This window comes from Homo sapiens, chromosome 11 (genome assembly GCF_000001405.40).
Source record: "Homo sapiens chromosome 11, GRCh38.p14 Primary Assembly".
Taxonomy (NCBI): Eukaryota; Metazoa; Chordata; class Mammalia; order Primates; family Hominidae; genus Homo; species Homo sapiens.
Genome location: NC_000011.10, coordinates 37,428,193 through 37,440,259, shown reverse-complemented (window position 1 = coordinate 37,440,259; position 12,067 = coordinate 37,428,193). Strand labels below are relative to the sequence as shown.

Here is a 12,067-nt window from a genome sequence, read left to right as displayed (position 1 = left end):
TACACAGTGTTGCAGAGTTATCTTTATGGGAAAAAAAAGTATTATGCTGACCCACCACTTAAAATTATTTACTATTTTCTCATTTCTTCAGAAAAGATACAGACTTTTGAGCCTAGAATAGGAAAACCATAATTATATGGTCTTGACCTTTTTTGTCTCATCTCTACTCCACAGCCAAAATCATTACATGCTCTCAGTGGTAGATTGAACTGATATACCCAATTTCCCATACTTTCATGCACCAATGCATTTGACAAAGCTCTCCCACACTAACTTTGGACTTAGCTGTATGACTTTCTTTGACCAATGGGACAAAAACAAATGATGGAAGGAGAGGCTTAAAAAGGAGTTTGCACATCTCTTCTTCCATTCTTAAACTCTGAGGCAAATGCTCAGGTCTACCCTATAGGAGGCTGAAAACATAAAGACTTTTGTCCTAGGAAGAGTATCCTATATCAGTTTAAAGCAAGAAAACCACAAAATCTGTTAATGTGTCCCAAACTGAGACCAGGAGAAGTGCACAGACAAGCCATACCAAAATCACTTATGGATTTCTGAGCATTAATAAATCATTATCACTAAACAATTTGAGTTTGACATGAAGTGTTATTGAAGTAGGAGCTCATTGACACAGAAATTGTCATTGGACATACAGTGCTTTCATAACAAAAACCAATACTATGTTGCATTGGCTTTTGAAGCAGACATTGAACAAAGACTAGAAAAGCACTGAGGAAGCTGCTAAAAATGTTGTATTGTGGTAAAACAATTGGGATAATTGTCACCTACAGTGAGTTAGATGATATAAAAAGCATCTGACAAAATTATGAAATTGAACAACAAGTTTTTCAGGCAGAAAGTGGAAAGTGTCATTTGGCTTTTTAAAGTTGTATGTGAGACAGAAGGGTCAACAGTTTCTGGGTCGTACCATAAAGCTGTTTCTCATCTTCAAATTCTCCATTGGGAAAATATTTCTCAAAGTAAAATACTTGGAGTCAAAGGTCAAATCAAGAGTGACACACCAAACTAGTCAAAAAGACTTCTTAGAATACTAAAGGCATCATCCCACCCAAATATTAATGACTAAGTCTAGAGAGGAGACATGTCTCCAAAAACAAGTCTTGATGTGACACTCTAAGCATGGAAAGGAATCATATCCAACTCACAGGAAACCTATGCAAATTTTGGAATAGCAATATTGGTGAAAATGCCGTTAGCCTTGAGTAAAATAAGTCTATATATTTCAAAATATACAAAGGTTTTGGAATCCACACCTTAATATGAGTAAGAAGCAGCCTGAGAAAGTAGCCAAAAAGATGTATTTTCTAATGACCTTTAAAGAAGTGAAAAAATATGGGTAATGAATGAGTGTGGAGGGATGAGCTGTGAGGAACATTGGACTAGATAGCTCACTCCCATGGAAGAGTAAAGAATAACGGTCTAGGGAGCCACTTCAAACCCCCTCTGAAATCTAGGGTAGTGAAAATTTGCAAAATGGTTCTAACTGGATGCTAGAATCTTTTCTTTAACTCATACTCTAAGTTCTGGGATCCATGTGCAGAACTTGCAGGTTTGTTACATAGGTATGCATTTTCCATGGTGGTTTGCTGTACCCATCAACCTGTCATCTAGGTTTTAAGCCCAGCATGCATTAAGTATTTCTCTTAATGCTATCACTCCCCTTGCCCCCAACCCACTGACAGGCCCCGGGGTGTGACGTTTCCCTCCCTGTGTCCATGTGTTCTCACGTTCAACTCCCGCTTATGAATGAGAACATGCAATGTTTGGTTTTCTGTTCCTGTGATAGTTTGCTGAGAATGATCAGAACCTTTATTAAAGATTGTGTGCCTCCCAACCTTCTACTTTTTAAGTGGAATGGCCTGTTGCAGATTATTTTGTCTTTCTTTCATTATCTTATGAGTGTGTGAAGAGTTGGGAGGATAGTTAACTTGTCTTTTTAGTTTATAGATCCTTGGATAAAGAGAAGCTATATCTGGACTTCGTTTAAATCATGAGTTCCTAAACTCTAAGTCCAGTGCAATGATCAATGATCATATGGATCATTGAAGGGGAAGAGGATAGCAATAAAAGCTATTAAGCACATGGAAGAGATATAATAACTGTGGCCAGAAGAAAGATTATGGAAAAGTGATTTGGTTAGGGTCCAATCTTTCATGTATTCCTCCATTTATGTCTTTTGTATTGCCATCCTACCTGAACTTTGGGCTTGACCCCATGAGTTGTTTTGGCCAATAGACCACTAGCAAACTAGTGACGAACCTATGACTAAAATCTCCTTGATGTTTATGCTTCCTCTACTCTTGGCTTCCAATTAGAATATGCTCAAGCTTGCCAGATAGAGGTTGAGATATATGGAACAGAGATAGTCAACCAAGTTGAGAATATCCCAAATTAGCCCAACACATTTTAAGACCATATAAATACCCCCAAGTAATATCATTGATTATTGCTTGGTCAAAGCCCATTCAACCTGTAAACTTAGGTCAATAGTAACAAATGGGTGTTTTAAGCCACTGAGTTGCCTGTTGGTTGTTATGAAGCATTGTTGGAATAGCCAACTGAAACACTCTCTCAAAATTGATTTTCCTCCAGCCTTCACATCATTATCATATGTTACCTAAGCTAGTAATCCCCAAATTATCTTTACGACTATACACTCTCTCCTCTCCAGCCCCCTCATACGTACAAAATCAGTCATGAGTAGTGTCAACTGAATTCTATCTTTACAATATTTTTGAACTATTTTACTCCACCCACTGTCATTATTATAATTTATAATGTTATTATATTTAACTTATTTCTTGGTAACATTCATTTAATATATACTCCCTGTCTCCTACCTTTTATCATTAATATACCAAGGAGAATGCCCTAAAACATAGATATTTTATTATGTCACTCTCAGGCTTTAATGCCTCTGGCCAAGCTTATAACTTGGCTTGCCATTGGAAAGTCTTTTACAATTTACCTTAATCTATTGTGCAACTTCACTTTCAGACATACTCAATCTTCCTCTATTCTCTAGCATTTTCAAATTACTGTCTGCTTCCCAAATACACATGCCTCTTTTTTTCTGTACCTATATCTACCTCAAGCTAGAACTACATTGTTCAATAAAGTAGCCATTAAGTACTTGTGGCTATTTAAACTTAAATAAATTGAAATTAAATCTAACTTAAAATTCCCTTCCTTATTCACACTACCCATATATCAAATGTTCAATAGCCACATGTAACTAGTGGCTACCCTATTGGGTAGCACAGCTTATGGAACATTTCCGTCATCGCTGAAAATTCTGTAGCTGATCTAGAATATTTTCTTCCTCATACTGATGGTGGTTCTATTGGGCTAGGTAGAGAGCTGCAGAGTCCAAGCTGTGTGGGCATTATTTCATGTTCATGCCATTATTTCCATTGCTAAAATATAGATAAAAATAGAAAATATTAAGGATCATGAGGCTCAGATTGATCCTTTTGCTAGGCTTCAAAATGATTAATGAGAAATGAATTATATGGAAGTACACAGGAGGTAACTAATGGGTTTTATGTTATGTGACTCTTTGAATTGGGGTTTAGAGTAATTCAATAGAATCTTAGTACTACTAGTTTTCTCTATTATCTAATTATCTTTCAGGGAATCCTAATAAGCTCTAGTTACTGTTGTGGTCATTTACTGTTGCGATCAATATCCAATGTCATTAGGCCTCCCAAAACTATCATATCCAACTCTTATCCTATCTAGAATTAATTATTATTTATGTAACTATGGTCCTATTTTGTTTCATATATTGTATTAAGATTATATATTGGTTGAATTCAATGGAATTTGAAGGAAGTCAAAAATTATTTACTAGTCCTAATGACGTTCTACAGAACAAAAGTGGATTAAAAATAACAGAAACAATGCTTGATTTTAGACACACACACACACACACACACACACACAGTGGTCATAAAAATATGTAAACTTTCAGTAACAGTTTGCTGACTCTAAATGAGAAGGATTTCAGTTGAGATGTTCTTCAGAAAAATGTTACATTTTAAAAGATGTTATATTCAAAGGCATCGCTTATTTTATATGGATGAATGTTGTTAAAGGATTTCAGCAACCTAGAGAACTTAGGGATATTCTGTAAGTAGAAAAGTCTTTGCAGAAGCCTTCCAATCACAATATATGAAGTCCACCTGCTAGGATGAAAAGAGATATCAAAATCAACTTTGACATGGCCTTATCCTTTCAATCATGCAACACAGGCCTCAAAATATGCAAATCAAAAATTCCATTTAAGGAATTTCTAAAACTATAGATATCTTTCAATTCCTTTACTATTCCCAATGGACTTTGTTTATCCATACAATAAACATTTCTACTGTGGCTACACTTTAAAAAGAAAAGTAAACCAATGGAATTTATTACATCTCATTATGTGCTGTAGAAGCACTCATTCATCACTTGCTAAAATAAAGACATTCATAGTTAGGTAGCTTTTAAGAAATATCAAAGAACGGGGTTACAGACGGCACCTGGAAAATTGGGTAACTCCCACCCTAATACTGCGCTTTTCCAACAGTCTTAGCAAACAGCACACCAGGAGATTATATCCCGTGCCTGGCTCAGAGGGTCCTACGCCCATGGAACCTCGCTCATTGCTAGCACAGCAGTCTGAGATCAAACTGCAAGGCTGCAGCGAGGCTGGGGGAGGGGCACCCGCCATTGCCAAGGCTTGAGTAGGTAAATAAAGCAGCCAGGAAGCTCGAACTGGGTGGAGCCCACCGCAGCTCAAGGTGGCCTGCCTGCCTCTGTAGACTCCACCTCTGGGGGCAGGGCATTGTCAAACAAAAGGCAGCAGAATCCTCTGCAGAATTAAATGTCTCTGTCTGACAGCTTTCAAGAGAGTAGTGGTTCTCCCAACATGCAGCTGGAGATCTGAGAATGGACAGACTGCCTCCTCAAGTGGGTCCCTGACCTGCGAGTAGCCTAGGGGAGGCACCCCCCAGTAGGGGCAGACTGACACCTCACACGGCTGGGTACTCCTCTGAGACAAAACTTTCAGAGGAATGATCAGACAGCAACAGTTGCTGTTCACCAATATCTGCTGTTCTGCAGCCTCCACTGCTGATACCCAGGCAAACAGGGTCTGGAGTGGACCTCCAGCAAACTCCAACAGACCTGCAGCTGAGGATCCTTACTATTCGAAGGAAAACTAACAAACAGAAAGGACATCCCCATCTGTACATCACCATCATCGAAGACCAAAGGTAGATAAAACCACAAAGATAGGGAAAAAACAGAGCAGAAAAACTGGAAACTCTAAAAATCAGAGTGCCTCTCCTCCTCCAAAGGAATGCAGCTTCTCACCAGCAATGGAACAAAGCTGGATGGAGAACGACTTTGACGAGATGAGAGAAGAAGGCTTCAGACGATCAAACTACTCTGAGCTAAAGGAGGAAGTTCGAACCCATGGCAAAGAAGTTAAAAACCTTGAAAAAAAATTAGACAAATGGCTAACTAGAATAATCAATGCAGAGAAGTCCTTAAAGGACCTGATGGAGCTGAAAACCATGGCATGTGAACTACGTGACGAATGCACAAGCCTCAGTAGCCAATTCAATCAACTGGAACAAAGGGTATGAGTGATGGAAGATCAAATGAATGAAATGAAGTGAGAAGAGAAGTTTAGAGAAAAAAGAACAAAAAGAAATGAACAAAGCCTCCAAGAAATATGGGACTATGTGAAAACACCAAATCTATGTCTGATTGGTGTACCTGAAAGTGATGGGGAGAATGGAACCAAGTTGGAAAACACTCTGCAGGATGTTACACAGGAGAACTTCCCCAATCTAGCAAGGCAGGCCAATGTTCAAATTCAGGAAATACAGAAAATGCCACAAAGATACTCCTCAAGAAGAGCAACTCCAAGACACATAATTGTCAGATTCACCAAAGTTGAAATGAAGGAAAAAATGTTAAGAGCAGCCAGAGAGAAAGGTCGGTTACCCACAAAGGGAAGCCCATCAGACTAACAGTGGATCTGTCAGCAGAAACTCTACAAGCCAGAAGAGAATGGGGGCCAATATTCAACATTCTTAAAGAAAAGAATTTTCAACCCAGAATTTCATATCCAGCCAAACTAAGCTTCATAAGTGAAGGAGAAATAAAATACTTTACAGACAAGCAAATGCTGAGAGTTTTTGTCACCACCAGGCCTGCCCTAAAAGAGCTCCTGAAGGAAGCACTAAACATGGCAAGGAACAACCGGTACCAGCCACTGCAAAAACATGACAAATTGTAAAGACCATTGATTCTAGGAAGAAACTGCATCAACTAATGAGCAAAATAACCAGCTAACATCATAATGACAGGATCAAATTCACACATAACAATATTAATTTTAAATGTAAATGGGCTAAATGCTCCAATTAAAAAACACAGACTGGCAAATTGGATAAAGAGTCAAGACCCATCAGTGTGCTGTATTCAGGAAACCCATCTCATGTGCAGAGACACACATAGGCGCAAAATAAAGGGATAGAGGAAGATCTACCAAGCAAATGGAAAACAAAAAAAGGCAAGGGTTGCAATCCTAGCCTCTGATAAAACAGACTTTAAACCAACAAAGATCAAAAGAGACAAAGAAGTCATCGCATAATGGTAAAGTGATCAATTCAACAAGAAGAGCTAACTATCCTAAATATATATGCACCCAATACAGGAGCACCCAGATTCATAAAGCAAGTCCTTAGAGACCTAGAAAGAGACTTAGACTCCCACACAATAATAATGGGAGACTTTAACACCCCACTGTTAACATTAGACAGATCAACGAGACAGAAAGTTAACAAGGATATCCAGGAAATGAACTCAGCTCTGCACCAAGCAGACCTAATAGATATCTACAGAACTCTCCACCCCAAATCAACAGAATATACATTCTTCTCAGCACCACACCACACTTACTCCAAAATTGACCACATAGTTGGAAGTAAAGTACTCCTCAGCAAATGTAAAAGAACAGAAATTATAACAAACTGTCTCTCAGACCACAGTGCAATCAAACTGGAACTCAGGATTAAGTAACTCACTCAAAACCACTCAACTACATGGAAACTGAACAACCCGCTCCTGAATGACTACTGAGTGCATAATGAAAGGAAGGCAGAAATAAAGATTTTCTTTGAAATCAATGAGAACTAAGACACAACATACCAGAATCTCTGGGACACATTCAGAGCAGTGTGTAGAGGGAAATTTATAGCACTAAATGCCCACAAGAGAAAGCAGGAAAGATCCAAAATTGACACCCTAACATCACAATTAAAAGAACTAGAGAAGCAAGAGCAAGCACATTCAAAAGCTAGCAGAAAGCAACAAAGAACTAAGATCAGAGCAGAACTGAAGGAAATAGAGACACAAAAAACCCTTCAAAAAATCAATGAAACCAGGAGCTGATTTTTTGAAAAGATCAACAAAATTGATAGACTGCTAGCAAGACTAATAAAGAAGAAAAGAGAGAAGAATCAAATAGATGCAATAAAAAATGATAAAGGGGATATCACTACTGATCCCACAGAAATACAAACTACCATCAGAGAATATTATAAACACCTCTACTCAAATAAATTAGAAGATCTAGAAGAAATGGATAAATTCCTCGACACATACACCCTCCCAAGACTAAACCAGGAAGAAGTTGAATCTCTGAATAGACCAATAACAGGCTCTGAAATTGAGGCAATAATTAATAGCTTACCAACCAAACAAAGTCCAGGGCCAGAGAGATTCACAGCCAAATTCTACCACAGGTACAAAGAGGAGCTGGTACCATTCCTTCTGAAACTAATCCAATCAATAGAAAAAGAGGAAATCCGCCCTCTCCCTCTCCCTCTCCCTCTCCCCTCTTCTTTCTTTCTTTGGTCTCCCTCTGTTGCCGAGGCTGGACTGTACTGCTGTGATCTCGGCTCACTGCAGCCCCCCTGTCCCAGGCTCCCATGTTTCTCCTGCCTCGGCCTGCCGAGTGCTTGGGATTGCCAGCGCATGCCACCACACCTGATTGGTTTTTGGATTTTTGGAGGAGACGGGGTTTCGCCCTGTTGACCGGGCTGGTCTCCAGCTCCTGACCTCAAGTGGTCTGCCCGCCTCGGCCTCCGGGGGGTGCTGGGATTGCAGATGGAGTCTCGCTCACTCAATGCTCAGTGTCGCGCAGGCTGGAGGGCTGGAGTGCAGTGGCGTGATCTCAGTTCACTGCAACCTCCACCTTCCAGCTGCCTGCCTTGGCCTCCCAAAGTGCTAAGATTACAGCCTCTGCCCAGCTGCCACCCTGTCTGGGAAGTAGGGAGCGTCTATGCCTGGCCGCCCATTGTCTGGGATGTGGGGAGCCCCTCTGCCCGGCCGCCCCGTCTGGGAGGTGAGGAGTGCCTCTGCCTGGCCGCCCCATCTGGGAAGTGAGGAGCGCCTCTGCCTGGCCACCACCCCGTCTGGGATGTGAGGAGCACCTCTACCTGGCCGCCCCATCTGAGAAGCAAGGAGCGCCTCTGCCCGGCCGCCCCGTCTGGGAAGTGAGGAGCGTCTCTGCCTGGCCGCCCATCGTCTGGGATGTGAGGAGCGCCTCTGCCCAGCTGCCACCCTGTCTGGGAAGTGAGGAGTGCCTCTGCCTGGCTGCCCCATCTGGGATGTGAGGAGCGCCTCTGCCTGGCCACCCCATCTGGGAAGTGAGGAGCGCCTCTGTCTGGCCACCCCGTCTGGGAAGTGAGGAGTGCCTCTGCCTGGCCGCCACCCCATCGGGGATGTGAGGAGCACCTCTGCCCAGCCGCTCCATCTGGGAAGCGAGGAGTGCCCCTACCTGGCCACCCCGTCTGGGATGTGAGGAGTGCCTCTGCCCAGCCACCCCGTCTGGGAAGCGAGGAGCGCCTCTACCTGGCCACCCCGTCTGGGATGTGAGGAGCGCCTCTGCCCGGCCGCCCCGTCTGGGAAGCGAGGAGTGCCTCTGCCTGGCTGCCCTGTCTGGGAAGTGAGGAGCGCCTCTGCCCAGTTGCCACCCCGTCTGGGAAGTGAGGAGTGTCTCTGCCTGGCTGCCCATCGTCTGGGATGTGAGGAACGCCTCTGCCCGGCCGCCACCCCGTCTGGGAAGTGAGGAGCATCTCTGCCCGGCTGCCCATCATCTGGGATGTGAGGAGCATCTCTGCCCAGCTGCCCACAGTCTGGGAAGTGAGGAGTGCCTCTGCCAGGCCTCCCCGTCTGGGAAGTGTACCCAACAGCTCCAAAGAGACAGTGACCATTGAGAAGGGGCCATGATGACGATGGTGGTTTTGTCAAAAAGAAAAGGGGGAAATGTGGGGAAAAGAAAGAGAGATCAGATTGTTACTGTGTCTGTGTAGAAACAAGTAGACATAGGAGACACCATTTTGTTCTATACTAAGAAAAATTCTTCTGCCTTGGGATGCTGTTAATCTATAACCTTACCCCCAGCCCCATGCTCTCTGAAACATGTGCTGTGTCAACTCAGGGTTAAATGGATTAAGGGCGGTGCAAGATGTGCTTTGTTAAACAGATGCTTGAAGGCAGCATGCTTGTTAAGAGTCATCACCACTCCCTAACCTCAAGTACCCAGGGACACAAACAGGGCCGAAGGCCGCAGGGACCTCTGCCTAGGAAAACCAGAGACCTTTGTTCTCGTGTTTATCTGCTGACCTTCTCTCCACTATTATCCTATGACCCTGCCACATCCCCCTCTCTGAGAAAAACCCAAGAATGATCAATAAATACTAAAAAAAAAAAAAAAGAAAAAAGAAAAAGAGGAAATCCTCCCTAACTCATTTTATGAGGCCAGCATCATCCTGATACCAAAGCCTGGCAGAGAAAAACAAAAAGAGAGAATTTTAGACTAATACCCCTGATGAACATCAATGCAAAAATCCTGAATAAAATACTGGCAAACGAAATCCAGCAGCACATCAAAAAGCTTATCCACCATGATCAAGTGGGCTTCATCCCTGGGATGCAAGGCTGGTTCAACATACACAAAGCAATAAACACAATCCAGCATATAAACAGAACCAACAACAAAAACCATATGATTATCTCAATAGATGCAGACTTTTCTGCCTCTATTCTGCCTTTGACAAAATTCAACAACCCTTCATGCTAAAAACTCTCAATAAATTAGGTATTGATGGGATGTATCTCAAAATAATAAGCGCTATCTATGACAAACCAACAGCCAATATCATACTGAATGGGCAAAAACTGGAAGCATTCCCTTTGAAAACAGGCACAAGACAGGGATGCCCTCTCTCACCATTCCTATTCAACATAGTGTTGGAAGTTCTGGCCAGGGCAATCAGGCATGAGAAGGAAATAAAGGGTATTCAATTAGGAAAAGAGGAAGTCAAATTGTCCCTGTTTGCAGATGACATGATTTTATATCTATAAAACTCCATTGTCTCAGCCCAAAATCTCCTTAAGCTGATAGGCAACTTCAGCAAAGTCTCACGATACAAAATCAATGTGCCAAAATCAAAAGCATTCTTATACACCAATAACAGACAGAGAGCCAAATCATGAGTGAACTCCCATTCACAATTGCTTCAAAGAGAATAAAATACCTAGGAATCCAACTTACAAGGGATGTGAAGGACCTCTTCAAGGAGAACTACAAACCACTGCTCAATGAAATAAAAGAGGATACAAACAAATGGAAGAACATTCCATGCTCATGGATGGGAAGAATCAATATCGTGAAAATGGCCATACTGCCCAAGGTTATTTGTACATTCAATGCCATCCCCATCAAGCTACCAATGACTTTCTTCACAGAATTGGAAAAAACTACTTTAAAGTTCATATGGAACCAAAAAAGAGCCTGCATTGCCAAGTCAATCCTAAGCCAAAAGAACAAAGCTGGAGACATCACGCTACCTGATTTCAAACTATACTACAAGGCTACAGTAACCAAAACAGCATGGTACTGGTACCAAAACAGAGATATAGACCAATGGAACAGAACAGAACCCTCAGAAATAATGCCACATACCTACAACTATCTGATCTTTGACAAACCTTACAAAAACAAGCAGTGGGGAAAGAATTCCCTATTTAATAAATGGTGCTGGGAAAACTGGCTAGCCATATGTAGAAAGCTGAAACTGGATCCCTTCCTTAAACCTTATACAAAAATTAATTCAAGATGGATTAAAGACTTAAATGTTAGACCTAAAACCATAAAAACCCTAGAAGAAAATCTAGGCAATACCATTCAGGACATAGGCATGGGCAGGAACTTCATGTCTAAAACACCAAAAGCAACGGCAACAAAAGCCAAAATTGACAAATGGGATCTAATTAAACTAAAGAGCTTCTGCACAGCAAAAGAAACTACCCTCAGAGTGAACAGGCAACCTACAGAATGGGAGAAAAATTTTGCAGTCTACTCATCTGACAAAGGACTAATATGCAGAATCTACAATGAACTCAAACAAATTTACAAGAAAAAAACAAACAACCCCATCAAAAAGTGGGTGAAGGATATGAACAGACACTTCTCAAAAGAAGATATTTAGGCAGCCAAAAGACACATGAAAAAATGCTCATCATCACTGGCCATCAGAGAAATGCAAATCAAAACCACAATGAGATACCATCTCACACCAGTTAGAATGGCAATCATTAAAAAGTCAGGAAACAACAGGTGCTGGAGAGGATGTGGAGAAATAGGAACAATTTTACACTGTTGGTGGGAGTGTAAACTAGTTCAACCATTGTGCAAATCAGTGTGGTGATTCCTCAGGGACCTAGATCTAGAAATACCATTTGACCCAGCAATCCCATTGCTGGTTATATACCCAAACGATTATAGATCATGCTGCTATAAAGACATATGCACACATATGTTTATTGTGGCACTATTCACAATAGCAAAGGCTTGGAACCAAGCCAAATGTCCAACAATGATAGACTGGATTAAGAAAATGTGGCACATATACACCATGGAATACTATGCAGCCATAAAAAAGGATGAGTTCATGACCTTTGTAGGGACATGGATGAAGCT

General features: G+C 41.6%; 1 annotated feature.

Moving 5' to 3' along the window:
• Positions 9,372–9,873: an enhancer, noted in NCBI's record as "NANOG hESC enhancer chr11:37451937-37452438 (GRCh37/hg19 assembly coordinates)". NCBI's record gives its function as "activates a minimal SCP1, AML or CMV promoter by ChIP-STARR-seq in primed H9 embryonic stem cells {active_cell/tissue: H9 hESC(primed)}" and the evidence as "EXISTENCE:reporter gene assay evidence [ECO:0000049][PMID:30033119]".